The 18,691-nt window shown below is 42.7% G+C and overlaps 1 protein-coding gene across 1 annotated transcript in view, besides 3 other annotated features; it reads left to right on the forward strand.

The window, feature by feature from the left end:
- EDARADD (EDAR associated via death domain) overlaps nt 1-18,691 on the forward strand; it is a 136,672-nt gene that overhangs the window by 24,039 nt on the left and 93,942 nt on the right. The gene's annotated exons all lie outside the window — the stretch shown is intronic.
- Nucleotides 5,878-5,927: an enhancer, noted in NCBI's record as "active region_2822". NCBI's record gives its function as "activates an Ori minimal core promoter by ATAC-STARR-seq in GM12878 lymphoblastoid cells {active_cell/tissue: GM12878}" and the evidence as "EXISTENCE:reporter gene assay evidence [ECO:0000049][PMID:35858748]".
- Nucleotides 9,498-9,698: a silencer, noted in NCBI's record as "peak784 fragment used in MPRA reporter construct". NCBI's record gives its function as "represses an SCP1 promoter by STARR-seq MPRAs in K562 erythroleukemia cells {active_cell/tissue: K562}" and the evidence as "EXISTENCE:reporter gene assay evidence [ECO:0000049][PMID:32103011]".
- Nucleotides 17,527-17,703: a silencer, noted in NCBI's record as "fragment chr1:236553124-236553300 (GRCh37/hg19 assembly coordinates)". NCBI's record gives its function as "represses an EF-1alpha promoter that drives an FKBP-Casp9 reporter gene in an ReSE screen in HepG2 liver carcinoma cells {active_cell/tissue: HepG2}" and the evidence as "EXISTENCE:reporter gene assay evidence [ECO:0000049][PMID:32094911]".

Raw genomic sequence — 18,691 nt, forward strand, 5'->3', positions numbered from 1 at the left:
CAAATGCTTTTTCTGTATCTATTGATGTGATTACTGATGTTTCATATTTAACCTCATGTTGCAATAGGTTACATTAATTGATTTTTGGGTGTTAAATCAGTCTTGCATATCTGGGCTAAATCTGCTCAGTCATGGTGTATAATTCTTTATATACATTGTTGAATTCAATTTGCTAATATTTTGTTGAGTATTTTTGAATCTATGTTCACAGAGATATTGGTTTGTAGTTTCTCTTCTTGTAACACTTTTGTCTGGTTTTGGTATTAGGCTAATGCTGGCATCATAGAATGAGTTAGGTTCCCTCCACTGCTATCTTCTGGAAGAGAGAATTGGTATAATTTTCTTCATTAAATGTTTGGTAAAACTCACCAGTAAATCCATCTGGGCCTGGTGCTTTCTGTTTTGGAAGGTTATTAATTATTGATTCAATTTCTTTAATTAATAGATAATAGGCTTATTCAAATTGTTTCTCCTTATGTGAATTTTGGTATAGTATTTATTTAAAGGAATTGGCTCATTTCATCTAGGTTATTAAATTTATGGGCATAGAGTTGTTCATAATATTCCTTTATTATGTTTTTAATGCCCATGGGATCATTGTGATGTCTCTTCTTACATTTTTTTTTTTTTTTTTTTGAGACAGAGTCGCTCTCTGTTACCCAGGCTGGAGTGCAGTGGTGCGATCTCGGCTCACTGCAAGCTCCGCCTCCCGGGTTCATGCCATTCTCCTGCCTCAGCCTCCCGATTAGCTGGGACTACAGGCGCTTGCCACCACGCCTGGCTAATTTTTTGTATTTTTAGTAGAGATGGGGTTTCACCATGTTAGCCAGCATGGTCTCGATCTCCTGACCTTGTGATCCGCCCGCCTTGGCTTCCCAAAGTGCTGGGATTACAGGCGTGAGCCACCATGCCCAGCCTTCTTTTTTGAGACAGAGTCTCCCTCTGTTGCCCAGGCTGGAGTGCAGTGGTGCCATCTTGGCTCACTGCAACCTCTGCCTCCCTGGTTCAAGCGATTCTCCTGCCTCAGCCTCCCGAGTAGCTGGGATTATAGGCATGCTTCACCATGCCCAGCCAATTTTTGTATTTTTAGTAGAGATGGGGTTTCACCATGCTAGCCAGGCTGGTCTTGAACTCCTGACCTCAAATGAATCACCTGCCTTGGCCTCCCGAATTGCTGGGATTACAGGCATGAGCCACTGTGCCCAGCTCCTTCTTACATTTCTGATATTAGTAATTTATGTCTTCTTTCTTTTTCTAGGTTAGCTTTTCTAGACACTTATTGATTTTACTGATCTTTTTAAAGAACCAGCTTTTGGTTTTGTTGATTTTTTTCTATTGATTTTCTGTTTCCAGTTTTATTGTCTTGGGCTCTAATTTTTATTCTTTCTTCTCTTCTCCTTTCTTTGGATTTAATTTGTTCTCCTTTTTCTGTTTTCCTAAAGTGGAAGCATAGACTATTGATTTAAAATCTTACTTATTTTCTAATATATACATTCAAACTATAAATTTCCTTCTAAGTACTGCTTTTGCTGAATCCCACAAATTTTGATAAGTTGTACTTTCATTTTCATTTAGTTCAAAGTATTTTTAAAATTTATCTTTTGATTTCTTCCTTGATCCATGTGTTATTCAGAAGTATGTTGTTTGATCTACAAGTACAATATTTTGAGATTTTCCAGATATCTTTTTATTATTGGTTTCTAGTTTAATTCCACTGTGGTCTAAGAGCAGATACTGTGTAATTTCTATTCTTTTAAATTTGTTGTGGTGTGTTTATGACCAAGTCTGTTTGCTATCTTGGTGAATGTTCATGTGAGCTTGGAAAGAGTGTGTGTTCTACAGTTGTTAGATGAAGTAGTCAATAGATATCAATAATATCAAGTTGATTGATGGTGCTATTGAATTCCACTATGTTCTGTTCCTACTCATTTTCTGCCTGCTAGGTCTGTTCCCTCCCTCCCTCCCTCCCTTCCTCCCTTCCTCCCTTCCTTCCTTCCCTCCTTCCCTCCTTCTTTGAGACAGGGTCTTGCTCTGTTTCCCAGGCTGGAGTGCAGTGACATGAATCTCCTGGGCTCAAGTGATCTTCCCCACCTCAGCCTCCCAAGTAATTACAGGTATGCATCACCATGCCTGGCTAATTTTTTTATTTTTAGTAGAGACAAAGTCTTGCCACGTTGCCCAGGCTGGTCTCAAACTCCTGGGCTCGAGCTATTTCCAACCACAATAGTAGATTCATTTAGTTCTCCTTGCACTTCTGTCTGTTTTTGCCTTGTGCATTTTGATGCTTTGTTGTTAGGTGCATACACATTAAGGATTGTTATGTCTTCTTGAATAATTGACCCCTTTATTATTATGTAATACCCCTCTTTAGCTCTGATAACCTTCCTTGCTCTGAAGTCTGCTCTTTCAATATTAATATAGCTATTTTCACTTTCTTTTGATTAGTGTTATCATGGTATGTATCTCTCTAATTTTTACATTTAATGTATATGTGCCTTTATATTTAAAGTGGGTCTCTTGTGAACAACATCTAGTTGGGTCTTTTTTTGATCCACTCTAACAATCTCTTTTAATTGGTGTATTTAGATCATTGATGTTTAGAGTGATTATTGATATAATTGGTATCTACCATATTTGTTACTGTTTTCTATTCATTGCCTTTATTCTTTGTTCCTATTTTTGTCTTCTACAGTTTTTCTGCTTTTTGTGATTTTAATGAAGTATTTCATATAATTCCATTTTCTCTTCTTTCTTAGTATATCTGTTATACTACTTTTTTAAAACTTACTTTTTCTTTAGTTGTTGTCCTACAGTTTGCAATATACATTTACAGCTAATACAAATCCACTTTCAAGCAGCATTATACCATTACACAGGCAGTGCAGGTACCTATAATAACAAAATAATCCTTATTCTTCCCTCCTATTTCTTAAATCATTATTGTAATTCATTTCACAGATACATAAGCATACGTAAATATATATGTATATAAGCATACATAATTGAGTACATTGTGGTGTTATTATTTTGAACAAACTGTTATTGTTAGTTAAATTAACAATAAGAAAAATAACCAGGCCAGGCGCAGTGGCTCACGCCTGTAATCCCAGCACTTTGGGAGGCCAAGGTGGGTGAATCACCTGAGGTTAGGAATTTGAGACCAGCCTGGCCAACATGGTGAAACCCCATCTCTACTAAAAATACAAATATTAGCCAGGTGTGGTGGCTCATGCCTGTAATACCAGCTACTTGGGAGGCTGAGGCAGGAGAATCGCTTGAACCCAGGAGGTGGAGGTTGAAATTTGCTGAGATCATGCCACTGCACTCCAGCCTGGGCAACAGAGTGAGACTTGGTCTCAAAAAAAAAAAAAAAAAAGATAAAAAAAAATAACCAGCCTGGGCAACATTGCAAGACCCTGTTTCTACAAAAAATTTAAAAATTAGCTGAGATTAGTGTTGCATGCCTGTAGTCCCAGCTACTTGGGAGGCTGAGGCAGTAGGATTTTTTGAGTCCAGGAGGTCAGGGCTACAGTGAGATATGACTGTGCCACTGCATTCCAGCCTAAGTAACAGATTGAGCCCCTGTCTCTAAAAAGAAAGAAAGAAAAAAAAAAGAATGTTTTTATTTTACCTGCACCTTTTTTTTTTTTTTTTTTTGAGACAGAGTCTCACTCTTACCCAGGCTGGAGTGCAATGGTGCGATCTTGGCTCACTACCACCTCTGCCTCTGAGGTTCGAGCGATTCTCCTTCTTCAGCCTCCCAAGTGACTGGGATTACAGGCATGCACCACCATGCCCAGCTAATTTTTGTATTTTTAGTAGAGACGGGGTTTCACCATGTTGGTCAGTCTGGTTTTGAACTCCTGACCAAAGGTGATCCAGCTGCCTTGTCCTCCCAAAGTGCTGGGATTATGGGAGTGAGCCACCATGCCCGGCCTACTTTCACTTTTTTCGAAAGATCTTCCTTTCTTTATGTAATCTGAGTTTCTGACCTATGTCATTTTCTTTTCCTTTAAAGAACTTCTTTTAGCATTTCTTCCAAGCGTGACTACTGGCAAGAAATTCTCTTAATTTTTGTTTATCCGAGAAGCTTTTTATCTCTCCTTCATTTGTGCAGGATAATTTTGCAGGATATAGAATTTCAGATTGGTGCCATTTTTTCTCTTTCAATAACACTTTAAAAAGTTTCACTTCACTTTCATCTTGCTTACATGATTTCTGAAGAGAAGTTGGGTGTCATTCTTACTTTTGGTCCTCTGTAAATAAGGTGTTTTTTCTCTCTGTCTTTTTTCGAACTTTTTTCTCTGTATTTGATTTCCTACAGTTTGAACATGATATGCCTACATGTAATTTTTTGGCATTTATCCTGCTTTGCATATTCTGAGCTTCCTGGATACGTGGTTTGGTGTCTGACATTATTAATATGGGGGGAAATACACAGTCATTATTCTAATAGTTTTTCTGTTCCTTCCTGTCTTTTCCTTCTGATATTCTCATTATGGGTATGTTAAACCTTTAGTAGTTGTCTTACAGTTCTTAGATATTCATTCCAGTTTTTTCCAATCTTTTTTCTCTTTCTCTTTGCTTTTCCATCTTGGAAGTTTCTATTAACATATCCTCAAGCTCAGAGGAGATTTTTTCCTCAGCCATGTCCAGTCTACTAATGAGTCCATGAAAGACATTCCTTCATTTCTGTTACAGTATTTTTATCTGTAGCATTTCTTTTTTGATTTTTTCTTAGAATTTCCATCTCTCTGTTTACATTGCCCATTTGCTCTTTCATGCTACCTACTCTATCCATTACAGCCCTTAACATATATATATTTTATATATATATATGTTATATATTTTGTTTATTTATTTATTTATTTATTTTGAGACAGAGTCTTGCTCTGTCACCCAGGCTGGAGTACAGTGGCATGATCTCGGTTCACTGCAACCTCCACCTCCTGGGTTCACGCCATTCTCCTGCCTCAGCCCCCCGAGTAGTTGGGATTACAGGGGCATGCCACCACACCCAGCTAATTTTTATATTTTTAGTAGAGATGGGTTTTTGCCATGTCGGCCAGGCTGGTCTCAAACTCCTGACCTCAAGCTATCTGCCCATCTTGGCCTCCCAAAGTGCTGGGATTACAGGCGTGAGCCACCACGCCCAGCCCAGCCCTTAACAAATTAATAATAGTTATTTTAAATTCCCATTCTGATAATTCCAACATTCCTGCCATATATATATGAGTCTGATTCTGATGCTTGCCCGGTCTCTTCAAACTGTATTTTTTTGGCTGAGCGTGGTGGCTCACGCCTGTAATCCCAGCACTTTGGGAGGCCGAGGTGGGCAGATCATAAGGTCAAGAAATCGAGACCATCCTGGCCAACATGGTGAAACCCCGTCTCTACTAAAAATACAAAAATTAGCTGGGCATGGTGGCGCATGTCTGTAGTCCCAGCTACTCGGGAGGCTGAGGCAGGAGAATCGCTTGAACCCGGGAGGCAGAGGTTGCAGTGAGCCAAGATCGTGCCACTGCACTCCAGCCTCACGACAGAGTGAGACTCCATTAAAAAAAAAACAAAAACAGAAAACAAAAAGCAAACTGTAACTTTTTGCCTTTTAGTATGTCTTATAATTTTTTCTTAACCTGCTGGACATGATATACTGGGTAAAAGGAACTGATATTCATAGGTCTTCAGCAATGTGCTGTTAAGGTGTCGGGGGAGAGAAGCTTTCCCTAGTGCTATGGTTACATCTCAGTCTTTTGTCAGCCTATGACTCTGAACTGTGAACTTCACAAGTGTTTCTCAGTCCCACCCACCCCCCTTTAGGTGGGATCTGATGGTTAGAGTGGGTTGGAGTTGGGTATTTTCCTTCCTCCAGGCCAGTTAATTTCTCATAAAATAGTTTCTTCTAAGATCAGGCCTTGTTAAGAAGAATAGAATGCTCTGGTATATTTCAAAATGGTTCTTTCCCCTCCCTCTTCTACAAACACAAGGGGATTTTTCTCCAGGAGTCACTGTGTGAACCTGGGGGAGCTTCTAAGGTGAATACAAAAGTGTGGTGAGGGAGCCTGAAGTTTTCATTGCTCAGAGAATTGCTAGCAACTCAGCAATTCTTCAGTTACAGTTCAGGTTTTCCTACCCCAGAGCTGGTTCCTGGGGAGGTTTCTACTCCCATCAGTTGTGGGTCTCTATATCCACCTGTCTGTGTCTCCAATTCTGGGGGTAGGAATTTGCCCTATGACCTTACTTCTCTGACAAATGTAAGAAGAGTGTTAGATTTTTCAGTGTGTGGAGCTTTGTACTTGTTAGGACAGAGTGATGACTTCCAAGCTCCCTGCGTGCTGGCCATTATAAAGTTTTAAGTATTTGAGAGCAAAATAACTATTTTATTGTTGAATTGATATATTTTGCAATCTTCATTAATGCAGCATGATTCAACCACTCTACAACTTCAACCACCTACTGAAGTTTTAGATACACTTTTTCCTTATTTATCTCTGAAGTATTTATACTTCAGCTAAAATGATCATCTTGTGTACTTAAAATTCTTCTTTTTTGGATTATTTTCTTTTTATATTCAAAATTTAGATCCATAATCCTCAATCCCAAACTCTATTTTTTAAAAAAGACTACAGTGTTTGTAATTGATTAGATCACTAGATGTGGAGAGGGGATGAGGAGAGAGGGATAAAAATTATTCTTTCCAGAGCTACAAGTCTCTGACTGATTGAAGTAAAAAAAAAATCTGAGGAAAACTCAGCATTATTGGAAGTTGCCCGTTTAAACAACTAAAGTCAGTCGGGCGCGGTGGCTCACACCTGTAATCCCAGCACTTTGAGAGGCCAAGGCGGGAGGATCACCTGAGGTCAGGAGTTCGAGACCAGCCTGGCCAACATGGTGAAACCCTGTCTCTACTAAAAATACAAAAATCAGCTGGGTGTGCTGGCGCATGTCTGTAATCCCAGCTACTTGGGAGACTGAGGCAGGAGAATCGCTTGAACCTGGGAGGCGGAGGTTGCAGTGAGCCCAGATCATGCCACTGCACTCCAGCCTGGCTGCCAGAGCGAGACTCCATCTCAAAAATAAATAAATAAATAAACAACTAAAGTCACAATCCCTGCCTTCTCAAGAAAACAGATACCCTTGAAACTGAGAAAGCTTCTATTGAAATACCGGTGATAGGCAGTTCTAAAATTCAGGGTCAGGGCCAGGTGCAATGGCTCACGCTTGTAATCCCAGCACTTTGGGAGGCCGAGGCGGGCAGATCACCTCAGGTCAGGAGTTCGACACCAGCCTGGCCAACACGGCGAAACACCATCTCTACTAAAAATACAAAAATTACCCAGATGTGGTGGCGGGCACCTGTAATCCCAGCTACTTGGGAGGCTGAGGCAGGAGAATCACTTGAACCCCGGGGGGTGGAGGCTGCAGTGAGCCAAGATGGTGCCACTGCACTCCAGCCTGGGCGACAGAGTGAGACTCCATCTCAAAAAAACAATAAGTAAAATTAAAAAATTAAAAATTGAATGCAAATTCTTAATGATCACAAGAGAAACGTAAATTAATTTGTTAACCTATGATAAATTATATTCCAAATACAATTGAGCTAAATTTATCTCTGTGCTAAAGGTACCAGGTATAACTTGCTTATTTTAAGTAGGCGTTTCTGCCACTAAAATTGCTGTGTTACAGCTATTAATAACACAACAGCAGTGCTGGTTTGAGGTTGCTGATGTGCAGGTCCTCTGAGCTGCTGTTTGCCTTTGGTGCCCGTACCTGCCTCTCAGTGTACTTCCATTTCCTTGTTGCTTTCATTATTTCCTTCCTTCATAACGCTCCCATGCCTTCTAGAGAAAACCTGATTGGATAAAACTTAATAGCATAAGACTATTTGCGTCTTGAAAAGGATTAAAATAGTGTGACACAAAGGCATAAAGTGCTAAAGGTGTAAGTTGAGATAGGAAAAAGTCTGAAGTCACTTCACATATGCTAACCACAACTCTGTAAAATGGAGGAAAAATCCATTTTACTTTCATTTTTTTTAAAGGAAGCAAGTGTAAATTAATATTACTTTTGTTTTTATTTGAACAATTCATAGTCTGGAAAATAAGAAGACTGAAGGGAAATTTTTTAGGTGACTAAATGTTTGGAACAGATTACTGTGTGAAACATGGTTTGTTGGGGGACAGGGAAGGTCAAGACTTATTTTGCTAAGCAGGTGCCTTTGTAAAAAATCATTTCTAAATTTGCTATTAAAATTTTTTAATTACATAAAAATACATAAATAAGTTATTTATTTTAAATGAAAGAACATTACAGACAAAGCTAAAGTCCCCTTTAAGCATTACTTTCTCCCAACCCTAGTCCTTTCCTAATTGCCCAGAAATAGCCATTATTAGCTATTGTTATGAGCTTGGCATGTATCTGTTTGTTTGTTGTAGAAATGGGGTTTAGCTATGTTGCCTAGGCTTAATGCAGTGGCTATTCACAGGTGCCATCATAGTGCACTGCAGCCTTGAACTCCTGGCCTCAAGTGATCTTCTCGACTCAGCCTCCCCAGTATCTGGGACCACAGGTTTGTGCCATCAGTGCCTGGCTATTTATTTAAAGTAGCTTTATTGGGGTATAATTGCCATAGAATCAACTGCACATATGTCAAGTGCACAACTTGATCAGTTTTGACATACATATAGGCCCATGAAACTATCATCATGAGCAAAAGAATGAACATGTCCGTTAGCCCCCAAAGTTTACTCATCTGCCTTTGTAATCCATCCTTCCCGCCCCACCCTCAATCCTGGGCACCCATTAATCAGCTTTCTGTTATTATAAATTAGTTTGTGTTGCAATAGATTTATTATCAGTGGAGTCATACAATACGCATGCTTTTGTTTTTTTCTGGCCTCTTTCACTCAGCATAACTATTTTGAGATTCATTTGTGTTGTTATGTGTATCAATAGTTTGTTCCTTTTATTGGTAAGTAGTATTCCATTCTAAAGATACACCATTCATTTTTATTTTTATTTTATTTTATTTTTTATTTTTATTTACTTTTTTATTATTATCATACTTTAAGTTCTAGGGTACATGTGCACAACGTGCAGGTTTGTTACATATAAGCTTGTGCTATTTTAGTGTTTACTTTAGCGTTTATCATATACATCTTTAACATGTCAGAGTGTATTTTTAAGTGATATTACAACAATTCATGCATAAAAATCCTTAGCTTCCATATCTCCCTTCTAGGCTTTTGAACAATTGTTTTCATTAGTTTTATCTCTACATATATCATAAGCCCTAAATACATTGTTACTATTTTGATTTAAAATATATTTTTTAAGCTGGGCATGGTGGGTCATACCTGTAATCCCAGACATATTTTTCTGTCAATTCTTTAAAAAAATAGCTCCACTGCCTCCTGCCTTACATGGTTTCTGATGAAAAATCTGCTGTCATCCTTGTTTTTATGCCTCTGTAATATGTCTTTTTTTTTTTCTTCCTGTGGTTGCTTTTTTTTTTTTTTTTTTTTTTTTCAGAGTTGGATGGGATCTTATGTTGCTCAGGCTGGCCTGAAACTCTTGGGCTCAAGCCATCCTACAGTCACAGCCTCCAGAGTAACTGGGACTACAGGCACATGCCACCATACCTGGCTTAGTCTGTTAAAATTTTATCTTATCCATGGCTTTGAGCAATATGATTATGTTGGGTTTTGGTGATTTTTTTTTCATATGTCTTGTGCTTGGTGTTCATTGAGCTTCTGGTCTGTGAGTTTAAGGTTTTCCTCAAATTTAAAAAATTTTTGGCCATTATTTCTTCAAACATTTTTGTCCTTCCTCTTTACATTTCTGGGATTCCAATTACATGTATATTAAGAGATTTGAAGTTACTCCTAGCCCTTTTCATTTTCTAAAGTTACTTTTCCCTTCAATTTCTATGTCTCCAAGTCACTAATATTTTCTTCTGCAATATCTTATCTGCCATTAATTCCATCCAGAGTATCTTTACTCTCAGGTATTATAGTTTTAATTTCTAAAAGTTGTAGTTTGGACCTTTTTATGTTTTGTGTGTCTCTACTTAGCTTGTTGAACCCATGGACTACAGTTACAATAAAAGTTTTAATGTCCTTCTTACTAACTGTATCATCTGTGTCCATTCTGGGTCTGTTTCAATTGACCAGTTTTTCTCCTTATTGTAAGCTATGTTTTTCTGCTTCCTGCAAGTCTGGTAATCATTGTATTCCAGATGTTATGAATTCACTTCATTGGATACTGGATATTTTTGTATTCCTATACCTCCTCTTTAGCTTTGTCCTTGAGCAGTTAAGTTGGTTGGAAAGAATTTGAAACTTCCAGGTCTCACTTTTAAGGTTTGTTAGGTGGAACTGGGGCAGGGTGTGCTCAGTCTAGGACTAATTATTCTCCACTATTCAGGCAAGACCCTTTTGTGTACTCTACCAAATGCTCATGAATTATAAGGTTGTTTTCCAGTCTGGTTGGCACGAACAGGCACTATTACTAGCCCTGAGTGAGCACCAGGCACGGTTCCCTCTGAAGTTCCCACATGGTTCTTTCCCCAGCCTTGGATAATTTCCAGGATGCATGCGCTGATCAATAAGTGTTCTGCTGGGTCCTCAAGGGGGACATTCTATAGATCTCTTAGGATCTCTCTGGGAAGTCTTTACCCTACAGTATTCTGTCCTGAGACTTCTAGATGTTTTGATTTCCTCAGACTCTCAGTTCTAGCTCCTCAAACCAGGGAGTCCAGCAGTCTCTGTCTGAGTGTCCTTTCTCTGCGCTGCAACTTAGAAATCTCTCAAGGAAGGCCGGGCGCAGTGGCTCACACCTGTAATTTCAGCACTTTAGGAGGCCAAGATGGACATATCACCTGAGGTCAGGAGTTTGAGACCAGCCTGGCCAACATAGAGAAACCCTGTCTCCACTAAAAATATAAAAATTAGCCAGGCATGGTGGTGCATGCCTGTAGTCCCAGCTACTCGAGAGGCTGAGGCGAGAGAATCACTTGAACCTAGGAGGTGGAGGTTGCAGTGAGCCAAAATTACACCACTGCACTACAGCCTGGGCAAGACTCCGTCTCAAAAAAAAAAAAAAAAAATCTCTCAAGGCAGTAAGCTGAGTGCAATCATAGGAATCCCCTTGTTTGTATTCCAGCTCCCAGAGAGCACCATCCTTCTTCACCTGGTGTGCTGTCTTAAAACCTGTTGTTTTATATATTTTGTCTGGGTTTTTTGTTGTATTGTTTCAGGCAGAAGGGAAAATCTTGTTCCTGTTACTCTATCTTGGTTGCAAGACAAAGTTGACATGTATCCATTTACAAAGGAATTACATGTAGTTATAGAAAATATACAGACTGGATTTTTTTTCTACCTCTGATATTAATCTGCAACTTATTTGGTCATTTAAAAATGTTTTGGCTGAGAATAGTGGCTCATACCTGTAATCCCAGAACTCTGGGAGGCTGAGGTGGGAGGGTCATTTGGGGTCAAAAGCTGGAGACCAGCCTGGGCAACGTAGTGATACCATATCTGTACAAAAAGTTTAAGAACTAGCCAGGCAGTGGCACATGTTTGTGGTCCCAGCTACTCAGGAGGCTGAGATGGGAGGATCACTTGAGCCCCGGTAGGTCGAGGCTGCAGTGATCTTTGATTGTGCCACTGCACTCTAGCCTGGGTGACAGAGTAACACCTTGTCTCAAAAAAATAAAATAAAATAAAATAATATTTTTGAGTTTATATCGTGTAACTTCTGTAAAATATTCTATTACATGAATGTGTTGTATCATATTTACCCATACCCCATTGATGAATGCTTATGTCATTTCCAATCTTTGTTATTACAAACAATGCTGCAACCAGTGTCCTTATGCATGTCTCCTTGTACCCACATGTAAGAGTTTGCTTAGGGAAAATACATCGGTCAAATTCCTCTACAGTGTAATCATATCAATTTATATTCCTACAATGTATGAGGGTCTATGTCTCTGCAATCTTGCCAATATTTGATATGAACAAGCTTTAAAAATTTGCCGATCGGTTAACTCATTAGTATTTTAATTTGCATTTATCTTATTTCTAGTGGGTTAAGTACCTTTTTCAATTTTTTTGTTTTTAAAAGATGGGGTCTTGCTCTGGAGTGCAGTAGTGCAATCATAGGTCACTGCAGTCTCAAACTCTTGAGCTCAAGGGATCTGCCCACCTCAGCCTCCCAATTAGCCTGACTACAGGTGCATGCCACCATACTTGGCTAATTTTTAAATTTTTTTGTAGAGACAGGATCTTGTGTATTGCCTAGGCTGGTCTCAAACTCCTGGGCTCAAGTGATCCTCCCACCTCAGCCTCCTGAGTAGCTAGATTACAGGTCTGTGCCACTGCATCTGGCTAATTATTATTATTATTATTTTTTGTAGAGACAGTGTCTCACTATGCTGCCAAGGCTGGGCTAATCTCAAACTCCTGGCCTCAAGCAATTCCTGGACCTTCCAAAGCTCCTGGCCCATTTTCAGACAATAATTTCATTGCCTATTTTTATTTCTTCTAGAAATTTTCTGTTTAGTCTTTGTTTACACTTATATTGAATTATTTTTATTATATTTTAACTTACTTGAAAAAATGCTTTAAAATTTGGATACTCACCTTTGTTATATAGCAAAGATTAATAATTAATATAAATTAATTTATCCAAGTCTATTCCCTGCTTTAGAACTTCTCTTGTCTTGCTGCAGATAATTTAAATTTGTATCTGGTTGGGTTTATCAGATTTTTATTCTATGCCTTTTGATTCTTTTTTTTTTTTTTTTTGCCTTAAGAAAGCTCTTCCTGGCCGGGCGCGGTAGCTCACGCCTGTAATCTCAGCACTTTGGGAGGCCGAGGTGGGCAGATCACAAGGTCAGGAGATCAAGACCATCCTGGCCAACACGGTGAAACCCCGTCTGTACCAAGAATCCAAAAAAATTAGCCAGGCGTGGTGGTGGGTGCCTGTAGTCCCAGCTACTCGGGAGGCTGAGGCAGGAGAATGGCATGAAGCCGGGAGGTGGAGCTTGCAGTGAGCCGAGATTGCACCACTGCACTCCAGCCTGGGCGACAGAGCGAGACTCCATCTCAAAAAAAAAAAAAAAAAAAAAAATGCTCTTCCAGGCTGGGCATAGTGGCTCACGCCTGTAATCCCAGCACTTTGGGAGGCTGAGGTGGGCAGATCATCTGAGGTAAAGGGTTCCAGACCAGCCTGGCCAACATGCTGAAACCCCGTCTCTACTAAAAATACAAAAATTAGTTCGGTGTGGTGACAGGTGCCTGTAATCCCAGCTACTTGGGAGGCTGAGGCAGGAGAATTACTTGAGCCCAGGAGACAGAGGTTTCAGTGAGCTGAGATTGTGCCATTGCACTCCAGCTTGGGCGACAAGAGCGAAACTCCATCTCAAAAAAAAAAAGAAAGCTCTTCCTTTTACCAAATTGTTAAGAGATTCTCTTGTATTCTCTCTTAATAATTTGAAAGTTAGCTCTCTCCCTCTCCCTCTCCCTCTCCCTCTCCCTCTCCCTCTCCTCCCTCTCCCTCTCCCTCTCCCTCTCCCTCTCCCTCTCCTTTCCCTCTCCCCTCCCTCTCCCTCTCCCTCTCCCTCTCCCTCTCCCTCTCCTTTCCCTCTCCCCACGGTCTCCCTCTCATGCGGAGCCAAAGCTGGACTGTACTGCTGCCATCTCGGCTCACTGCAACCTCCCTGCCTGATTCTCCTGCCTCAGTCTGCCGAATGCCTGCAATTGCAGGCACGCGCCGCCACGCCTGACTGGTTTTGGTGGAGACGGGGTTTCGCTGTGTTGACCGGGCCGGTCTCCAGCCCCTAACCGCGAGTGATCCGCCAACCTCGGCCTCCCGAGGTGCCGGGATTGCAGACGGAGTCTCGTTCACTCAGTGCTCAATGGTGCCCAGGCTGGAGTGCAGTGGCGTGATCTCGGCTCGCTACAACCTCCACCTCCCAGCCGCCTGCCTTGGCCTCCCAAAGTGCCGAGATTGCAGCCTCTGCCCGGCCGCCACCCCGTCTGGGAAGTGAGGAGTGTCTCTGCCTGGCCGCCCATTGTCTGGGATGTGAGGAGCCCCTCTGCCTGGCTGCCCAGTCTGGAAAGTGAGGAGCATCTCCGCCCGGCCGCCATCCCATCTAGGAAGTGAGGAGCGCCTCTTCCCAGCCGCCATCACATTTAGGAAGTGAGGAGCCTCTCTGCCCGGCCGCCCATCGTCTGAGATGTGGGGAGCGCCTCTGCCCCGCCGCCCCATCTGGGATGTGAGGAGCGCCTCTGCCCGGCCGAGACCCCGTCTGGGAGGTGAGGAGCGTCTCTGCCCGGCCGCCCCGTCTGAGAAGTGAGGAGACCCTCTGCCTGGCAACCGCCCCGTCTGAGAAGTGAGGAGCCCCTCCGCCCGGCAGCTGCCCTGTCTGAGAAGTGAGGAGCCTCTCCGCCCGGCAGCCACCCCATCTGGGAAGTGAGGAGCGTCTCCGCCCGGCAGCCACCCCGTCCGGGAGGGAGGTGGGGGGGGTCAGCCCCCCGCCCGGCCAGCCGCCCCATCCGGGAGGGAGGTGGGGGGTCAGCCCCCCCGCCCGGCCAGCCGTGCCGTCCGGGAGGGAGGTGGGGGGGTCAGCCCCCCGCCCGGCCAGCCGCCCCGTCCGGGAGGTGAGGGGCGCCTCTGCCCGGCCGCCCCTACTGGGAAGTGAGGAGCCCCTCTGCCCGGCCAGCCGCCCCATCCGGGAGGGAGGTGGGGGGGTCGGCCCCCCGCCCGGCCAGCCGCCCCGTCCGGGAGGGAGGTGGGGGTGTCGGCCCCCCGCCTGGCCAGCCGCCCCGTCCGGGAGGGAGGTGGGGGGGTCAGCCCCCCGCCCGGCCAGCCGCCCCGTCCGGGAGGGAGGTGGGGGGGGTCAGCCCCCCCGCCCGGCCAGCCGCCCCGTCCGGGAGGTGAGGGGCGCCTCTGCCCGGCCGCCCCTACTGGGAAGTGAGGAGCCCCTCTGACCAGCCAGCCGCCCCGTCCGGGAGGGAGGTAGGGGGGTCAGCCCCCCGCCCGGCCAGCCGCCCCCTCCGGGAGGGAGGTGGGGGGGGTCAGCCCCCCTGCCCGGCCAGCCGCCCCGTCCGGGAGGTGAGGGGCGCCTCTGCCCGGCCGCCCCTACTGGGAAGTGAGGAGCCCCTCTGCCTGGCCACCACCCCGTCTGGGAGGTGTGCCCAACAGCTCATTGAGAACGGGCCAGGATGACAATGGCGGCTTTGTGGAATAGAAAGGCGGGAAAGGTGGGGAAAAGATTGAGAAATCGGATGGTTGCCGTGTCTGTGTAGAAAGAAGTAGACATGGGAGACTTTTCATTTTGTTCTGCACTAAGAAAAATTCCTCTGCCTTGGGAATCCTGTTGATCTGTGACCTTACCCCCAACCCTGTGCTCCCTGAAACATGTGCTGTGTCCACTCAGGGTTAAATGGATTAAGGGCGGTGCAAGATGTGCTTTGTTAAACAGATGCTTGAAGGCAGCATGCTCGTTAAGAGTCATCACCAATCCCTAATCTCAAGTAATCAGGGACACAAACACTGCGGAAGGCCGCAGGGTCCTCTGCCTAGGAAAACCAGAGACCTTTGTTCACTGGTTTATCTGCTGACCTTCCCTCCACTATTGTCCCATGACCCTGCCAAATCCCCCTCTGTGAGAAACACCCAAGAATTATCAATAAAAAAATAAATTAAAAAAAAAAATAATAATAATAATAATTTGAAAGTTAATGTTTTACAATTAGATCTTTAATCTATCCAAAGCTTACTTTTGTGTATAGGGTGAGACAGAAATATAAATTGCATTGTGTATGTGTGTGTGTGTGTGTGTATCCTCCCAACACCATTTGAACTGTCTTTTGACCATTTAAATGTGTCTATCATTTATCATATTCCAAACACATACATGAGTCTGTGTCTTACATTTTTGTTCTGTTCCATTAATCTTTTTTTCACTTTTCTTGTACCAATATTCAGTGTTTTAACTACTGTTGTTTTATCATATCTTGCTATATTGTAAGACAAATCCTTGTTATTCTTTCTCAAAGTGATCTTGAATTTACTCTCCCATATGAATTTTGCAATCAGTTTTATGTTCCAAGAAAGTCTTGTTAATTTGGTTGAGTTAGCATTGAATCTGTAGATTAATTAAGGAATCATGACTATCTTTACAATATTGAGACATTTTATCCATTAACATGGTATAGCTTGCTATTCCGTCAGATTTCTTTTTATGTTTTTCACTAAAGCTTTGTAGTATTTGCAATAATGCTCTCACACAGTTTTATTGAATTTATTTCTAGTTACTTTATAGTTTTACTTGTTGATTTAAATGGGACCTTCCCCCCGCACCCAGTTGGATATTGTTGTCATATAAGAAAGCTCTTGGTGTTTGATAACTCCCCACCAAGCTATATTCACTTATTAGTTCTAATAGTTTCTCAGGTGACTCACTTGGATCCAAGTCCACCTTCTTGTCTTAGCTCAGAATAAGTTCTAAATGACAATTTGTTAAATGAATTTTTAAAGTGATTGATCATTTTGTAGATTCCTGAGTTACCAGTCTGAGCCTGTGTTCTCCATTCTGGGAGTAGAAAGATACTGAACGCTAGCTATGGTCACTGATAACACTAGATTGTTTTTCCATTTGTCCTTTTCTTGCAACAGCAATAACCAAAGCAAACATCCCTCAAAAAACTTCTCTAGCTGAATTTCATTACTTGGGTTTCAGGTTTTAATATATGAAGTTCATCTTTTGGAACAGATTTTATCTCAAAATCTGAAGCAAGAAATAAATTGCTATGTATGAAGGCATTCACTAAAAAAGCAGCTGGAAATGGTGCTGGGTGTGGGAGCACCCATGATCAAGGCACCAGGAACACCTGCAAGGTTGTGAGTGAGGATCCCGAGGCTACAGGAGGATATGTAGAATAAAAGTGCCCTCTGCACAGCCACACTTTTTCACCCCATCCCATCCCTCCTCTCTGCTCTGCACCTACCACTCCCCACCCAGGGCATTCTAAGTGTGTTTAGCAATACACCATACTAAGAATCACCCACACTTTGCCATTCTGTTTGTGGGAAACCAAACACTGCTCATGCTTCTAGTGAGTAAACAATTCAAAGTAAACTGCAAGTAGACAAGAGAGATTTAATCTCCTGTGTGAGGAAGGGTATTGCATAAGTGAAGAGAGGAACTTAAGATTCATGCTTAAATACACGCACTGGAATGCTGTGTCTCTGACAAACAGAAATCAAATCAGCACAAAGGTAATATTTTACTTAAGCTTCTGTCCCTCTGTTGACATTTTGGAATAAAACTTTCCAGATAATTTTATGTATGTATGCAAAATCTACAAGGCAATTGACTCCTGTATAATAATGAATGCTTAAGAAGGTAACAAGACTAGGCATGGTGGCCCACACATGTAATCCCAGTACTTTAGAGGCCAAGGCAGGTGGATTCCCTGAGCCCAGGAGTTCGAGACCTGCCTAGGTAATGTAGTGAGACTCCTGTCTCTACAAAAAATAAAAATAAAAAAATTGGCCAGGCGTGGTGGGGTACATCTGTAGTCCCAGACACTCAAGAGGCTGAGGTGGAGGGACTGCTTGAACCTCAGGACGACGACGCTGCAGTGAGCTGTGATCATGCCACTACACTTTGCACTCCAGCCTCGGAGACAGAGCAAGACCCTGTCTCAAAAACAAGAAGGTAGCAAAAGAAGATTTAATATTTTCTGATAGGAATGGAAAACCAAACATCGTGTGTTCTCACTGATGTGTAGGAGCTAAGCTATGAGGATGCAAAGGCATAAGAATGATACAGTGAACTTTGGGGACTTGAGGGAAGAGTGGGAGGGGGCAAGGGATAAAAGACAACCAATATGGTGCACTGTATTCTCCTCGGGTGATGGGTGCACCAAAATCTCACAAACCACCACTAAAGAACTTACTCATGGCCGGGCGTGGTGGCTCATGCCTGTAATCCCAGCACTTTGGGAGGCCGAGGCGGGCGGATCACGAGGTCAGGAGATCAAGACCATCCTGGCTAACACGGTGAAACCCCATCTCTACTAAAAATACAAAAAATTAGCTGGGCGTGGTGGCGGGCGCCTGTAATCCCAGCTACAGGAGGCTGAGGCAGGAGAATGGCGTGAACCTGGTAGGCGGAGCTTGCAGTGAGCTGAGATCCAGCCACTGCACTCCAGCCTGGGGGACAGAGCGAGACTCCGTCTCAGAAAAAAAAAGAACTTACTCATTAACCAAATACCACCTGTACCCCAATAACGTATGGAAAAAAAATTCTGATATGTTTCTCCTGCATTTGGATGAGGATGTAAATTCAACTCTAATAAATTACAGTGTATCAAAAGGATTAAAGGGTCTCTCCCTGCATTCTCTCCTAGCTCTGTTCCATCCTACACACAGCTGCTGGATTAATCTTCCAAAACACCAATTTTCTCATGCCACTTTTCAAAAACTAGCTTCCTGGCTTCCTGTTGTCTAAAAACTAGTTTCAGATGCTTTTGTCTGGCATTCAAGAAGGTCAGTAGTCTAGAGCCTCCTAAATGTTTCACTCCTGCTCCTTCCTTCTACCACTTACCACCTGTGTGCTCTTGGGTTAGTTGTTATTATTATTATTATTTTTTGAGATGGAGTCTCACTCTGTCGC

The sequence above is a fragment of the Homo sapiens genome, chromosome 1 (genome assembly GCF_000001405.40).
Source record: "Homo sapiens chromosome 1, GRCh38.p14 Primary Assembly".
In the NCBI taxonomy this organism is placed as follows: domain Eukaryota; kingdom Metazoa; phylum Chordata; class Mammalia; order Primates; family Hominidae; genus Homo; species Homo sapiens.